The sequence below is a fragment of the Homo sapiens genome, chromosome 6, assembly GCF_000001405.40.
Source record: "Homo sapiens chromosome 6, GRCh38.p14 Primary Assembly".
NCBI classification, from domain to species: domain Eukaryota; kingdom Metazoa; phylum Chordata; class Mammalia; order Primates; family Hominidae; genus Homo; species Homo sapiens.
The window spans coordinates 125,685,405-125,702,888 of record NC_000006.12 but is presented as its reverse complement, the minus strand read 5'-3'; the positions used below and the strand labels follow the sequence as shown (position 1 = coordinate 125,702,888).

General features: G+C 36.7%; 2 long non-coding RNA genes across 10 annotated transcripts in view, besides 1 other annotated feature; one reads left to right on the top strand and one right to left on the bottom strand.

Moving 5' to 3' along the window:
* HEY2-AS1 (HEY2 antisense RNA 1) overlaps window positions 1-17,484 on the top strand; it is a 171,898-nt gene that overhangs the window by 46,537 nt on the left and 107,877 nt on the right. For 3 of the 9 annotated variants that reach the window (NR_183493.1, NR_183494.1, NR_183497.1), the window contains 2 exons: window positions 8,491-8,722; window positions 13,243-17,351. The exons of 4 other annotated variants lie outside the window; for them this stretch is intronic. This is a non-coding gene — a long non-coding RNA (HEY2 antisense RNA 1). Of the gene's footprint in view, window positions 1-8,490; window positions 8,723-13,242; window positions 17,352-17,484 lie in introns of those variants that run through there. 2 more of the 9 variants (NR_183495.1, NR_183499.1) reach the window with 1 other exon arrangement.
* The window catches only part of LINC02523 (long intergenic non-protein coding RNA 2523), a 45,866-nt gene that overhangs the window by 17,330 nt on the left and 11,052 nt on the right, over window positions 1-17,484 (bottom strand). The window lies entirely within an intron of this gene.
* Window positions 364-1,018: an enhancer, noted in NCBI's record as "OCT4-NANOG-H3K27ac hESC enhancer chr6:126023017-126023671 (GRCh37/hg19 assembly coordinates)". NCBI's record gives its function as "activates a minimal SCP1, AML or CMV promoter by ChIP-STARR-seq in naive and primed H9 embryonic stem cells {active_cell/tissue: H9 hESC(naive and primed)}" and the evidence as "EXISTENCE:reporter gene assay evidence [ECO:0000049][PMID:30033119]".

The window sequence follows — 17,484 nt, the reverse complement described above, 5'->3', positions numbered from 1 at the left end:
ACTGTGCCCCCCAAAAAACTTGTCATCCCTACTATCTTCTGTCTAGTCATACTCCTATTCACCGTTCTCAACTACTCATACATGCCCTGCTCTTGTTTACACTGCCGGTTTACACTGTTTTTCCAAGCCATCACAGCTGATATCTCCTGGTGCTATCCCCAAACTGCCACTCCTAACTCTTGAAGTAAATAAATAATCTTTGCTGGCAGGACTATGCTGAATCTCCTTAGGCACTCTCTAATCAGATATCCTGAGTCGTCCCAATTCTTAGACCTTTTATACCTGTTTTTCTTCTTCTGTTATTCCATTTAGTTTCTCAGTTCATCCAAAACCGTATCCAGGCCATTACCAATCATTCTATACGACAAATGTTTCTTCTAACATTCCCACAATATCATCCCTTACCACAAGACCTCCCTTCAGCTTAATCTCTCCCACTCTAGGTTCCCATGCCGCCCCTAATCCCACTTGAAGCAGCCCGGAGAAACATCGCCCATTCTCTCTCCATACCACCCCCCAAAAATTTTCGCCGCCCCAACACTTCAACACTATTTTGTTTTATTTTTCTTATTAATATAAGAAGGCAGGAATGTCAGGCCTCTGAGCCCAAGCCAAGCCATCACATCCCCTGTGACTTGCACGTATACACCCAGATGGCCTGAAGTGACTGAAGAATCACAAAAGAAGTGAATATGCCCTGCCTCACCTTAACTGATGACATTCCACCACAAAAGAAGTGTAAATGGCCGGTCCTTGCCTTAAGTGATGACATTACCTTGTGAAAGTCCTTTTCCTGGCTCATCCTGGCTCAAAAAGCACCCCCACTGAGCACCTTGCGACCCCCACTCCTGCCCGCCAGAGAACAACCCCCCTTTGACTGTAATTTTCCTTTACCTACCCAAATCCTATAAAACGGCCCCACCCCTATCTCCCTTCGCTGACTCTCTTTTCGGACTCAGCCTGCCTGCACCCAGGTGAAATAAACAGCCATGTTGCTCACACAAAGCCTGTTTGGTGGTCTCTTCACACAGACGCGCATGAAATTAACCATACAAACTAAGAACCTAAAATTCAGGTCTTTGTTATGCCTGGCCAGTTTTACAATTTTAAATAGACAATGTAGGCTGAATAGTTAATTCAGTTTTTAACTTACAGTACTATGAGCATTTTGACATATTCGGAGTTCTTTCATTCTTTTTATAGTTCTATACTTGTCTCTAGGAGTAAATAAGTCACTTTGTTTCAATAAATTACCAGTTGGGTGTTGTTTTCTGAAACCTTAGCAAAATTAGCCTTCTCCTTACTTTGAGTTCTTAAGGAAGGGAAAGGAGAGAAAGTAAGTGAACTTCGAAACAGGACACCCAGCTGGAATTCCTGCTTTAAGCACTGTTTCTAATGAAGGCAACTGTCATGGAGTTACATGCCCCTTTAGCCTTGGCCTAGGCTCTTTGAGGACTGTCACTGTCACTATTGTGACCTATAGTTTGGTCAAATAATAAAGAATGAAAGAAGTCTCCTTTGCCCACAAAGCAATGGTACATGTAACGTAGTATCTGAGGAAGGCACTTAGAGGTGGAAACAAGGGGTCGAAGCAAGGGTCACTGGAATACAAGGAAATGCCTTTGTGTGGGAGACACAACCTGCTGTGTGACTGCCAAGCTCTCTCTGGAGGAGAATCAGGCAAATTTGTTCTCACACTTGATGGGACAGGAAGGGTCCCCAGGGGCATGCAGTCCATCAGGAAGCTGGGTTACTGAGAAACACAAGAGCCCACTTAGCACAGATCTGAATGAAAATCCTTTCAAACAACAAAAACTTAGCAGTAAGGCCCTCTGTTTCAGGCTTCATTTAAATGGCAACAGTTCTGTGTCTCTTGGCATCCCTGAAGCTTTGGCCCCTGTTGTCCCCTAAGTCTGGCATCTCACAGTGTTAGAGAGCTGCTTGGACAATCATTCTCCTGCACTCCCTCTCCGAGGTGGCTATCATCTGGGGTTCCTGGGCTCCTGGGTAATTTCTCATGTGTTTTTTGTCTGTGAGACCCTGCTTGTGTTCTTGTTGTCTAGGGAGTCTGTGGCAAATCCTCCCAGCCTTGGGAACAAAGGGGGTTCTGATAAGTGTCTCATCAGCAGCTGATCTCTATTAAACAATACATGCCTTTTCTTTTTGTTTTTTTTCCCTAACATCCTGCTGGTTGCCAATGGCACTGTGTCCCCCTCATCCAAACACCACTAAGGAATGGGATCCTTGTGACTTTTCTTTACAAAACAGCCAGTAGGTCTCAATAAGGGCTCTTTCTTGACATCAATCACTGTCCTGTTGAGAGTCCTGGACAGGCCATTTTAATTGACCAGAACCAAATCCAGTTGTTCGGTCATGGAAAATGAATGCCATTAGATTGGTTTTCCTTTACACACTTTGCAGAGTTAATGGTTAAACATACAAGCACTCTGTTAATAAAATGTAATCAACCAAATAATTTCAAAGGCTTTCTTAATCTTAAAAATTAGATGGAATTTCAGACATTATGATGAAAATAATCTTTGTAGTAATAGAAGGTTCTATGGCTCTTTTATTTTTCCATTACATAACTGACATTGAGTTAGTGTGGGCAGGTGGTTTAGGGAACTGTTTAACCAGATTTGCTAATTTGGACAAACTTTTGAGCTACACAGAAAACTCAGTCCTCTTATTTGTAAAATGGGGATATTAATATCACTTATCTTCCACAGATATCATGAAGATTTAGTAAAAAAGTAAATGCTAGCCAACAAAAGTCTCCTTAGTACAAAGTATGCAGAAATTTCACAGTTGGCTAAATGAATTTGATTAAAATAAGTATATGAAATTAAGGCTTTAAAAATTACAGAGGGAAAAATTATAGTGTTGTCTACATTTGGTGCATTATGTCACTATGCTAGATAAACACTTTTTTGTTATCTTCTTCTTCCATTTCTACCTAGGCTTGATGTATTCAGTGTTTAATTCCCCAGGGAGAATCAGGGAAGTACATGTGACTGATTTTTTCACCCCCTTCTCTGAGCCCATGCCTCTCGCCTGTGCATATATTTCTCATAGCACTTACTAAATTGTCTTGAGATTATCCATTTACCTGTCTGAATTTCCCGCTAGGACAAGAGCTTTTTGAAGGCAGAGTCTGTGTCTTATTTATCTTTGTATCACGAGCACCTTTCATAACACTTGGCACATAGAGCTGTGGTAGGTCCTGAATAAATGTTTCATGACTGACCGAATGTATTTTTAAGGACTTTTTGCCAGCTTGGAACAGTACTTAGCTATTATTAACTACAACTGGAAAAAATTTAAAAAATACTGTGTTATTACAGTGAAAAATATATTTTAAATATCAAATAATTTAAAAATAATTGTTATATTTTCAAATGTCTCAAAAATACGGGAAAGCTTAACAAAGAAAGTAACAGATGCCCATACATCTGTCATTAAAATTAAACATATAAATGCTTTGCTTTAGCTTGTTTTCTGTGTTTATAAAAAGTATAATATTAAAGATGGGGCTACCCTCACCCACTTCAGCTCCTCACTCTCTTCTTCCCATTGCTTCTCCCTCCTCCCTTCCTCTCTGGAGGTAATTACCATCCTGAAATTGTGTGTATTCTGTCTACAGTAAAAGTATAAATCAACCAGATGTTTTTTTCTTTCATCAAAGTAGAGATTTTTTAAAAATATGAAGTCTTTTAAAATTTTCTCTCTTTTTCTGGTAAAATGCTCTTTTCTGTTAACCCAAAAGCCATGCTAACTAGAATAGGGGAAACTGTCACAGCATGTCTTTGGTTGGAGAGCCTGATTGGAGAAGGGTGCAGATTTTAAACATGACCATCTCATGACTTTTGTTTGCTTAATAAAAAAGTGTGATCTGGGAATTGAGACACCTTGCATTTCTTGGTCTTAAAACCACAAATGGTATATCTAAGAACTAGGCACTTCATTTTTCACAATCTACATACATTCTGGAAATAGTCACTAACCTTCTTGTCATGGGTGAATAAGAATTTTTCTGCTTGAAGAAAAAAATATTTATTTTGTTCATTTTCCTAGCCATATACCTTCACCTGTTCTCTTTCACTTTACTTCACTTTGTGCATGTAACATAGCAGAGTACACCTTAGGATTTAGTGTAATTTTACACAACTTGTTATATCCCAGATTCAAATTTTTTTTTAAATTCAGGCTTAACTCACATATTATGAAATTCACCCTTTTAATGTGTACAATTCAGCAGATTTTAGTATATTTGTAAGGTTGTGCAACTATCACCACTGCCTAATTCCAGAACATTTTCTTATCCCAAAAAGAAACTCATACCCATTAGCAGTCACTCTCTGTTTCCTCTCCTCCCCTAGACCTAAGCAATCACAAATCTACTTTCTAGTTCTATGGATTTACTTATTCTGGACATTTCATACAATTGAAGTCATAGAATATGTGGGCTTTTTGTGTCTGACTTCTTTCACTTAGCATAGGTTTTCAAATTTCATCCATATTGTAGCATGTATCAGTACTTCATTCTGTTTCATGACTGAATAATATTCCATTCTATGGATTTACCACATTTTGTTTGTTTAATCTTTCATTGGTTGATAAACTTTTGTGTCGTTTCTACTTTTTGGCTGCTATGAATAGTGCTGTTATGAGTATTAATGTACAAGTTTTTGTTGTCAGTTCTCTTGGGTATATGCACGGGAGTGTTATTACCAGGTTGCATGGTAACCCCATGTTTGACTTTTTGAGGAACTGGCAAATTGTTTCCCAAAGTGGCTGCATCATTTTACACTTGAAAAAACAGTGTATGAGTGTTCCAATTTTTCTACATCCTTAGCAATACTTGTTATGGTTTGTCTTTTTGATTATAGCCATCTAGTGGGTGTGAAGTGGTATCTCATTATGATTTTGATTTGCATTTCCCTAATGACTAATGATAGCTAACATCTTTTCATATGCTTATTGGCCACCTGCATATATTCTTTGGGGAAATATCTATACAAATCCTTTGCTCATTTATTAATTGAGTTATTTGTCTTTCATTGTTGAGTTGTAAGAGCTGTTTATAGAGCTCTTACAACAATAAAGGATTCTGGAAACTAGATTCTTTTCCAGATACATGAGATGTAAATATTTTCTCCCACCTTGTTGCTGATCTTCTCACTTTTTGATAGTTTTCTTTGAAGCAAAGTTTTTAAAATTTTTGATGAAGTCCAGTTATCAATTTTTTTATTGGTTGCTTGTGTTCTGGTTTCATATCTAGAAAAGCATTGCCTAATCTAAGGTGGTAAAGATTTAATCTCATGTTTTCTTTTAAGATTTTTAATAATTTTAGCTCTTATATTTAGATATTTGACTATTTGGAGTTAATTTTTATATATGGCATAAGATTGACATTCAGCTTCATTCTTTTGCATGTGCATATCTAGTTGTCCGAGTGTCATTTGTGGAAAAGCCTCTGTTTTCCCTCATTGAATTGTCCTGGCATCCTTATCAAAATCAATTGACCATGAATGCATGGGTTTATTTCTGGGCTCTCTATTCATTGATCTGTAGTTCTATCTTTATGGCAATACCATACAGTCTTCAATACTGTAGCTTTGTGGTAAATACTCTAGCTTTGAAATTGGAAATTGTGAGTCTCCAACTTTATTATACTTTTTCAAGATTGTTTTGGGTATGATAGGTCCTGAATTTCCATATGAATTTTGGGATCAGCTTTTCAGTGTTTGCAAAAGAGGCAGCTAAAATTTTGACAAGGATTATATTGAATCTGTAGATCAATTTGAAGAGTATTGCTGTCTAAACAATATTAAGTCTTCCAATCCATGAACATGGAATGTCTTTTCATTTATTTAGGTATTCTTTAATCCTTTTCAATGATGTTCTGCATTTTTCAGTGTGTATGTCTTACATTTCTTTGGTTACATCTATTCATAAGGTTTATTCTTGCTGATTCTTTTGTAAATAGAATTATTTTCTTAATTTTATCTTTGGATTGTTAATTACAAGTGCATAGAAATACAGTTAATTTTTTTGTATTGTCCATGTATCCCATAACCTTGCTGAACTCACTTATTACCTCTAATAGGATTTTTTGGGGGGAGGGGCAGGTGTGGATCTCCTAGGACTTTCTGTGTATAAGATTATGTCGGCCGGGTGGCTCATGCCTGTAATCCCAGCACCTTGGGAGGCCAGACGGGTGGATCACGAGGTCAGGAGATCGAGACCATCCTGGCTAACAGGGTGAAACCCCGACTCTACTAAAAATACAAAAAAAATTAGCCTGGTGTAGTGGCCGGCGCCGAGTAGTTGGGACTACTACGCGGGAGGCTGAGGCAGGAGAATGGCGTGAACCCCCGGGGTGGAGCTTGCAGTGAGCTGAGATCGCGCCACTGCACTCTAGCCTGGGTGACAGAGTGAGACTCCATCTAAAAAAAAAAAAAAAAAAAAAAAAAAAAAAAGATTATGTCATCTGCAAATACAGATAGTTTTATTTCTTCTTTTTCAATCTAGATTCCTTGTATTTCTTTTTATTGCCTGACTGCCCTGGGTAGAATCTCCAATACAATGTTAACACATGTGGCAACAGTGAACATCTTTGTCTTGTTTTGGACCTTAGGAAAAAAGCTTTTAGACTTTTGCAATTAAGTATAATATGAATTGTGGGTTTTTCACAGATACACTTTATCAGGTTGAATAAGTGCCTTATATTCCTAGCCTGTTGCATGTTTTGCTTTTTAAAATTTTTAGTTGACAAATAATAGCTATATACATATGTGGGGTTCAACATGATGTTTTGATATATGTACATATTTTAGAAAGATTAAATCAGGCTTATTAATATATTCATCACCTCACGTACTTATCTTTTTTAAATAATGAGAACATTTAAATTTTACTCTTTTAGCAATTTTGAAATATGCAGTATGTTAGTATGGTCACCATGCTGTGCAATAGATCTCTAAAACTGCTTCCTCTTGCCTAACTGAAACTGTGTACCTTTTCACCCATGACTACACTTTCCCCACCCTCCCCACCCCAGCCTTTGGTAACCACCATTTTACTCTCTGCCTCTATGAGTAATGATTTTTAAAATTCCAAATATAAGTGAGTTCATGGAGTGTTTGTTCTTTCCGGGACTGTCTTATTTCACTTAGCATAATGTCTTCCAGCTTCATTTATGTTTTCACAAATGGTAAATTTTTTTTCATTTTAAAGGATGTATAGTATTCTATTGTGCATATATACCACATTTTCTTTATTCATTAATCTGTGGGGCTAATATGATAAATATTTGAGGAACTCAAACAACTTAATAGCAAGAAAAACAAATAACCTGATTTAAAAATGGGTAAAGGACCTGAACAGGCATTTCTCAAAAGAAGATATACAAATGGCCAAGAGATACATGAAAGGTGGTCAACATCGCTAATCATCAGGGAAATGCAAATTAAAACTACAATGAGATACTACCTTATACCTGCTAAAAAGGCAGGTTATTATTGATTATTAGCCGAAAAGACAAGAGATAAGTACCGGTGAAGATGTGGAGAAGAGGGAACCCTGGTACACTGTTGGTAGGAATATAGATTAGTACAGCCATTATGAAAAATGATGTGGAGGTTCCACAAAAAGTTAAAAATAGAACTACCATATGATACGCAATTCCTTTTCTGGGTATGTATCCAAAGGAGCTGGTGTGTGTGTGTGTGTGTGTGTGTGTGTGTGTGTGTGTGTGTGTGTGTTTCATGGAAGCAGGTTGAATTTCATCAAATGCTTTTTTGTGTGTGTCTATTGAGATGATTATGTGGTTTCTTTGGCCCCATATTCTGTTAATATGGTGTATAACATTGATTAGTTTTGATATGTTGAAACAAACTTGTATACCTCAGATAAATCTCACTTGATTATGGCATATAATTATTTTTATATGTTATTGAAATCAGTTTGCTAGTATTTTGTTGAGAATTTTTGTATCCATATTTATTACATTTATAAGAGCTACTGGTCCGTAGCTTTTTTTTTTTTCTTTTGATCGCTTTATCTAGTTTTGGTATCAAGTAAATACTGGCCTCATAGAATGATCTGGGAAATGTCTCCTCCCTTTCTATTTTTTGAAAAAGTTTGTGAAGAATTAGTGTTATTCTTATTAAATATGTGGTAGAACTTACCAGTGAAGAGATTTGGTTCTGACCTTTTTTCTGGTGGCAATTTTTTTGATTATTAGTTTAATATTTTAATTTGTTATAGATTGACTCAAATTTTCTATTTCTCCTTTAATCAGTTTAAGTAGACTGTATTCTTTTAGGAATTTGTCCATTTCATCTAACTAATCTAATTTGTTGGCATATGATTGTTCATAGTATTCTCTAATAATTCTTTTTATTTCTCAAAGATTGGTAGTAATATCCCCTTTCATTCCTGATTCAGTAATTTGAGTCTGTTTCTTTTTCTTTTTTTTTTAACCAGAGGGTTTATCAATTGTGTTGATCTTTTCAAAAAGCAAACTATCGGATATTGGGGGAAGATGGCAGATAGGAAACAAGGCTAACGTGCAGCTCCCACATGAATGGTCACAACAGTGTGTGCAGACTCACACTGTGAACTTTTCTCCAAGGATCACTGCAGGAACATACCAGGAAAACTGAAAGAATTCACACTTTGAAAGAAGCAGCATGCCACTGCAAATTCCATGAAACAGGTGAGAAACTGTGAGTTCCCAAAGTGTGAGGTGGGAACCTACCTCCAAACACACATTCCACCTGGGGAATCTGAAAATCCAGATCACAGGAGAAGGATTCAACCTTACCTAGAGATGAAATGGAGTTAAGAAGTCACCCGAAATATAAAAGTAGAAGTAGCAGCATGAAGTGCCTTGCACTTACTCCCAGTCTCTAGCTAAAGTCCAGGGGAGCTATCCCTGACTAAATCTCACAGGGGCCCTTTGGGAAGGCAGTCAGCAGAATTGGGGAGGGGTTGCAGAGAGAAGGAAACTCTCAACTGTAATTGGTAGTGGTTTAGACTGGGAACAATTTTTTTCTTAGTGGAGTCCAGGGGATGAGTGGATGCTGCTGTGGATATGAGCAAGCACAGGAGCGCAGGAGCTGCTGCTGCTCAAATAGGCAGACAGGGAGGGATGAGGTCTAAAGGTCACCTTGGTTTCTCAGTAGGGTAGCTCATGGTGCAAGGTCTGAGCAAGGCACTGCAGGAGTGAGACCAGCCTCACCAACTTCATGGGAGCTGAGTCAGGCTTCTCACTACTGGGTATCCCCCACTTCTATGGTGAACTATATGATACAGCAGAGGCAGCCAAGATCCCCTCTGGAATATAGCCCCAATGGACTGAGAACCCATCCCCCCAACAGTGACCATGGCAGGCCCTGCCCAAAGAGAGTCTGAGTTAAGAGCCACTTAATCCTGCCCTCACTTGATGGTATTTCACTACCCACCCTGGTAGCTGAACACAAAACCTAGAAACTCTTGGGAACTTTATGACCCTGCCCATCACTGGAGAAACCAAAATACCATGGTCATCTTATGGCATGCTTAGAACCCCCTACTACTACCACAGCTGGTGCTCTCTTGAAAGTGCCACCTCCTGGCTAGAGGCCAACCAACTCAGGTCATTAAAGCAACTCATGACAGAATAAACCTGATCTCAGACAGGAGAATCCAACACATAATTCCACTGCTTACAACATCCCGGCTAACCAGCGGTCCTGAGTGTGTCCACATGATAATTTCACAGCTAGCATAACCAGCATTCAAGAAAGCCAGTACACTAAACATATCTGCAACCAAGGACTCTGACAGAGTCTGCTTCACTCTCCTGCCATCTCTACCAGAGCAGATGCTGGTATCCATGGCTGTGAGACCCGAATATGGATCACATCACAGGACCCTTTGCAGATATCCCCCAGCAGCAACCCAGAGCCTGGTAGTCCCACCGGGTGGCTAGACCCAGAAGAGCAATAACAATCACTGCAGTTCAGCTCTCAGAAAGCCACATCCCTAGAGGAAGGAGGAAAGCACCATATCAAGGGATTACCCCATGGGACAAGAGAATCTAAACAACAGGACTTGAGTTTCAGACCTCTCCACTGAAATAGTCTACCCAAATGAGAAGGAACCAGAAAAGTAATTCTGGTAATATGACAAAACAGGGTTCTATAACATCTGCTAAAGATCACACCAGCTCCTCAGCAATGAATCCAAACCAAGAAGAAATCTCTGAAGTGCCAGATAAAGAATTCAGAAGGTTGATTATTAAGCTACTCAAGGAGATACCAAAGAAAGGTGAAAAACAACCTAAAGAAATTTTAAAAAGATACAGATACAGATGAAAAATTCTCCAGAGAAATAGATATGATAAAAACAAAACAATCACAACTTCCAGAAAAGAAAGACACACTTAGAGAAATACAAAATGCAGTTGAAAGTTTCAACAGTAGACTAGAACAAGTAGAAAACAGAATTTCAGAGTTTGAAGACAAGTCTTCCAAATTAACCCAATCTGATAAAGTAAAATAAAAAATAATTTTAAAAAATGAACAAAGCCTCTAAGAAATTTGGGATTATGTTAAACAGCCAAACCTAACAATAATTGGTGTTTCTGAAGAAGAAGAGAAATCTAAAAGTTTGGAAAACTTATTTGAGGGAATAATCGAAGAAAATTTCCCTGTCCTTGCTAGAGATCTAGACATCCAAATACAAGAAGTTCAAAGAACACCTGGGAAATTCATCACAAAAAGATCTTCACTTAGGTACATAGCCATCAGATTATCTAAAGTCAAGACAAATGAAAGAATATTAAGAGCTTTGAGAAAAAAGCATCAGATAACCTATAAAGGAAAACCTATCAATTAACAGCAGACTTCTTGGCAGAAACCTTACAGGCCAGAAAGGATTGGGGTCCCATCTTTAGCCTCCTGAAACAAAATAATTGTTAGCCAAGAATTTTGTATTCAGCAAAACTAAGCTTCATAAATGAGGGAAAGATAAAGTGTTTTTTGGACAAACAAATGCTGAAAGAATTAATCACTACTAAGCCAGCACTACAACATGCCTAAAGAAGTTCTAAATCTTTAAGGAAAACCTCAAAATACACCAAAGTAGAACCTCCTTAAAGCATAAATCTCACAGGGCCTATAAAACAATAACACAATGGAAAAAAACCCAAGGTATTAAGGCAACAACTAACATGATGAATAGAACAGTACCTCACATCTTAATACCAACGTTGAATGTAAATGGCTTAAATGCTCCATTTAAAAGATACAGAATGGCAAAATGAATAAAAATCCACCAACCAAGTACCTGCTGTCTTCAAGAGACTCACCAAACACGTAAGGACTCACATAAACTTAAGGTAGTGGAGTGGAAAAAGATATTTCACACATATGGAAACCCAAAATGAGCAGAAGTAGCTATTCTTATGTCAGATGAAAGAGACTTTAAAGCAACAACAGTAAAAGAAGACAAAGAGGGACATTATATAATGGAAAAAGGAATAGTCCACAGGAAAATACCACAATTCTAAGTATATATGCACCTAACACTGGAGCTCCCAAATTTATAAAACAATTACAACTAGACCTAAGAAATGAGATAGATGGCAATGCAATAATAGTGGGGGACTTCAGTTCTGCACTGACAGCACTACACAGGTCATCAAGACAGAAAGTCAACAAAGAAACAATTGACTTAAACTATACCATAGAACCTATGGACTTAACAGGTATTTTCAGAACAGTCTACCCAACAACTGCAGAATATACATTCTTTTCTTCAACACATGGAACATTCTCCAAGATAGATCAGATGATAGGTCACAAAACAAGTCTCAGTAAATTTAAGAAAATCAAAGTTATATCAAGTATCCTCTCAGACCATAGTGGAATAAAACTGGAAATTAACTCCAAAAGGAACTGTTAAAACTGTAAAAATCCATGGAAATTATATAATCTGCTCTTGAATGATCTTTGGTTCAACCATGAAATCAAGATGGAAATTAAAAAATTATTTCAGCTGAGCAATAATAGTGATACAAGTTATCAAAACCTCTGGGGTACAGCAAAAGCAATGCTAAGAGGAAGGTTTACAGCATGAAGTGCCTACATCAAAAAGTCTGAAAGAGTGCTAATAAACAATCTGTCACACTTCACAGAACTAGAGAAATAAGAACAAACGAAACCCAAACCCAGTAGAAGAAAATAAATAACAAAGATCATAGCAGAACTAAACAAAATTGAAACAATAAAATAACACAAAAGGTAAATGAAACAAAAAGCTGGTTCTTTGAAAAGATAAACAAAATTGGTAGACCATTAGTGTGATTAACCAAGAAAAGAAGAGAGAAGATCTAAATAAGCTCAATTAGAAATGAAATAGGAAATTTTATAACTGATATCACAGAAATGCAAAAGATCATTCAAGGCTACTATGAACACCTTTACACACACAAAGTAAAAATCTAGAGATGGATAAATCTCTGGAAATATGCAATGCCCCCAGATTAAATTAGAAATAAATAGAAACTCTGAACAGATCAATAACAAGTAGCAAGATTGAAACAGTAATAAAAGAATTGCCAACAAAAAAAGTCCAGGACCAGATGGATTCACTGCTGAATTCTATCAGACATTGAAAGAATAATTGGTACCAATCTTACTGAAATTACTCCAAAAGACAGAGAAAGAGGGAATCCTCTTTAAATCATTCTACGAAGCCAGTATTACCCTGATAACAAAACCAGGAAAGGACACAACAAAAAAAGAAAATTAGAGACCAATATCCCTGATGAAGATAGATGCAAAAATCCTCAACAAAATACTAGCTAACCAAATCCAACAGCATATCAAAAAGATAATCCACCATGATCAAGTGGGTTTCATACCAGGGATGCAGGGATGGTTTAACATATACAAGTTAATAAGTGTGATACACCATATAAACAGAATGAAAAACAAAAATCATATTAGGTAAGTGCAAAAGTAATTGTGGTCTTTGCATTGTTGAAATTTGCTGTTTGATATTGGAATACATTCTTAAATAAATGTGGTTATGTTATACATCATTTTAATGGGCATATCTTACTTTATGATTTTTTTGCTAGTGACGTATTACTTGCTGTTTATTTTATGTTTATTTTAGACTGTGGAAATGATGTTAGAAAGCAAATTTAAGCTAATTTCTTATTTGTTTTCAAAATGGGTTGTATAGCAGTGGAGACAACTCGCAACATCAGCAACACATTTGGCCCTGGAACTGCTAATGAATGTACAGTGCAGTGATGGTTCAAAAAGTTTTGCAAAGGAGACAAGAGCCTTGAAGATGAGGAGCATGGTGGCGGGCCATCAGAAGTTGACAGTGACCAATTGAGAGCAATCATCGAAGCTGATCCTCTTACAACTACACAAGAAGTTGCAGAAGAACTCAATGCCTACCATTCTATGGTCACTTGGCATTTGATACAAATTGTAAAGGTGAAAAAGCTGAATAAATGGGTGCCTCATGAGTGAAAATCAAAAAAATCATCATTTTGAAGTGTCATCTCCTCTTACTCTTTGCAACAACAATTTGCAAGAACCATTTCTTGATCAGATTGTGACATGTGACGAAAATTGGATTTTATACAACTGGCAATGGCCAGCTCAGCAGTTGGACCGAGAAGAAACTCCAAAACACTTCCCAAAGCCAACCTTGCACCAAAAAAGGTTATCGTCATTGTTTGGTGGTCTGCTGCCAATCTTATCCACTACAGCTTTCTGAATCCCGGCAAAACCATTATATCTGAAAATTATGCTCAGGAAGTCTATGAAATGCACTGAAAACTGCAATGCCTGGAGCTGGCATTGGTCAACAGAAAGGGCCCAATTCTTCTCAAAACAGTGCCTAATCACACGTCACACAACCAACACTTCAAAAATTGAACAAATTGTACTATGAAGTTTTGTCTAATCTGCAATATTCACTTGACCTCTCACCAACTGACTACCACTTCTTTAAGCATCTCAACAGCTTTTTGCAGGGAAAACACTTCCACAACCAGCTGGATGTAGAAAATGCTTTCCAAGCATTCACTGAATCTCAAGGCACAGATTTTTATGCTACAGGAATAAACAAACATTTCTTGTTGGCAAAAATGTGTTGATTGTAATGGTTCCTGTTTTGATTAATAAAGAGGTGGTTTGAGCCTAGTTATAATGACTGAAAATTCATGATCTGAAACTGCAATTACTTGTGCACCAACCTAATATGATCATCTCAATAGATGCAGAAAAAGCACTTGACAAAATTCAGCATCTTTTTATAATTAAAACCCTCAGCAAAGTTGGCATAGAAGGGATATACCTCAAGGTAATAAAAGCCATCTATGAAAAACCTACAGCCAGATTATACAGAATGGCGAAAGATTGAAAGCATTTCCCATGAGAACTGAAAAAGACAAAGATGCCCACATCTACCACTTCTATTCAATATAGTACTGGAAGTCCTAGCCAGAGCAATCAGACATGAGAAAGAAATAAAGGGCATCAAAATCAGTAAAGAGGAAGTTGAACTGTTGCTGTTTAGTGGTGATATGAATGTACACCTAGAAAACCCTAAAGAGTCATCCAAAAAACTGCTAGATCTGATAAATGAATTCAGCAAAGTTTCAGGATACAAAATCAAGGTACACAAATTAGTAGGACTACTATACACCAACAATGACCAAGCTGAGAAACTAACCGAGAACTCAATCCCTTTTACAACAGCTGCAAGAAATTAAAACACTTAGAAATATACTTAACCAAGAAGGTGAAAGATCTGTACAAGAAAAACTACAAAACCTGCTGAAAGAAATCATTAATGACTCAAACAAATGGAAACACATCCCATGCTCACAGATACGTAGAATCAATGGTGTGAAAATAACCATACTGCCAAAAGCAGTTTACAGATTGAATGCAATTCCATCAAAATACCACCATCATTCTTCATAGAACTAGAAAAAACAATCTGAAAATTCACATGAAACCAAAAAAAGAAAAGACCCCACATAGCCAAAGCAAGACTAAGCAAAAGAACAAATCTGGAAGCATCACATTACCCAGCAAAACAGCATGATACTGGTATAAAAATAGGCATGTAGACCAATGGAACAGAATAGAGAATCCAGAAATAAAGCCAAATACTTGCAGCCAACTGATCTTTGACAAAGCAAACAAAAACATAAAGTGGGGAAAAGTCACCCAATATCAACAAATAGAGCTGCGATAATTGGCAAGCTACATTTAGAAAAATGAAATGGATCCTCATCTCTCACCTTATGCAAAAATCAACTCAAGATGGATCAAAGACTTAAATCTAAGACCTGAAACTATAAAAATTCTAGAAGGTAACACTGGCAAAACTCTTCTAGACATTGGCTTAGGCAAAGAGTACATGACCAAGAACCCAAAAGCAAATGCAACAAAAACAAAAGTAAATAAATGGGACCTAATTAAACTAAAAAGCTTCTGCACAGTGAAAGAAACAATCAGCAGAGTAAACAGGCAACCCACAAAATGGGAGAAAATACTCACAAATTATGCATTTGACAAAGGACTAATATCAAGAATCTACAAGGAACTCAAATCAGCAAGACAAAACAAATAATCTCATCAAAAAGTGGGCAAAGGACATAAATAGACAATTCTCAAAAGAAGATATACAAATGGCCGACAAACACATGCAAAGATGCGCAACATCACTATCAGGGAAATGCAAATCAAAACCACAACGAGATACTACCTTACTCCTGCAAGAATGGCCATAATTAAAAAAAATAATAAATAGTAGGTGTTGGAGTGGATATGGTGAAAAGGGAACACTTTTACACTGCTGGTGGGAATGTAAGCTAGTACAACCACTGTGTAAAACAGGATGGATATTCCTTAAAGAACTAAAGTAGAACTACCATTTGATCCAGCAATCCCACTGCTGGGTAGAGAGTCTACCCAGAGGAAAATAAGTCATTATATGGTAAAGACACAAGCATATGCATGCATTATAAGTAAGAGGTAAGCTATGAGAATGCAAAGGCATAAGAATGATATCATGGACTTTGGGGATTCAGGGGGAAGAGGGAGGTGAGGGATAAACAACTACACATTGGGTACATTGTACACTGCTTGGGTGATGAGTACACCAAAATCTGAGAAATTACCACTAACGCATTAATCCATGCAACCAAAAACTACCAGAAAAGGATTGACATTAAAAAAAGTTAAAATAAAATAAAAATAAACTGAGAGGGAGGAAAGCCCTTTGATTTATGACACAGAAGCCATAAACAATATGACTATAGGATAATATGTATTTTTAATTTTTTCAATCTTACTATATCAGAAAATTATCAGACATTTGATAGTACATCCTCCCCACAAGAAAGGTGTGGGAAAACATCATGCATTCTTGGACTCAACAAAAATTTGCTTTTAAATACTAATTTTAGAATTATAATTGCACATTTAAATGAAACATATATAAGGTCATTGTATACTTAAATACTGCTTATAATAGCAAAAGACTGCAAACAACAACTTAAAAGTCTATCAGCAGGAGTCTTGTTAAAGTATTATATAAATTACACAATGAAAAACTAAAAATTGTGCACCTGTATAGAGAATACCAATGCTCTCTAAGCATGGTGGAAAATTGTGTTCATATTATGCTAAAAATTTTATGGGGGAGAGAAAGAAAATATATACCTATAAAATTTGTAGACTGTTTCTCAAAGGATACATGAGAAACTTGTAAGAGAGAATGCAACTGGGGAGGAAAAATGGGTGGTGGAGTAGAGGAAAGGGAAATAAACTTAGTTTTCATTATTTAAAAAACCATCTGTTTTGTTGATTTGCTCTGCTTTTTGAGTTCTCTATTTTATTCATTTTCACCCTATTATGTATTATTTGCTTCCTCTGTTTGCTCTGGTTTTAATTTACTCTTCCTTTTCTAGTTTCTTTACCTTCGGGTTTAAAGTATTGATTTGAGATCTTTATTCTTTTTGAAAGTAAGTATTTACAGTTATAACTTTCCCTCTGAACACTGCTTTTATTGCATCCTATGCATTTTGGTATGTTGTGTGTTTGTTTTCATTCATTTCAGAGTATTTTCTAATTTCCCTTGTTATTTCTTCTTTGACTAAATAATTATGTGAAGTGTATCATTTAACTTCTACATATTTGGTAATTTCCCAATTTTCCTGTTGTTACTTATTCTAAATTTACTTCTGTTGGGGTCAGAGAGCACACCTTGTACAACTGTAGTCTTTTAAAATTTATTAAAACTTGTTTTGTGGCTTAGTATATGATCTATCTTGGAGAGTGTTCTTTTTAATCTTGAAGGGAATGTACATTCTGCTATTTTGGGGTTGAATGTTCTATGGATATGTTAGGTCTAGTTGGCCTGTAATGTTGTTCAAACTTCTGTTTCCTTGCT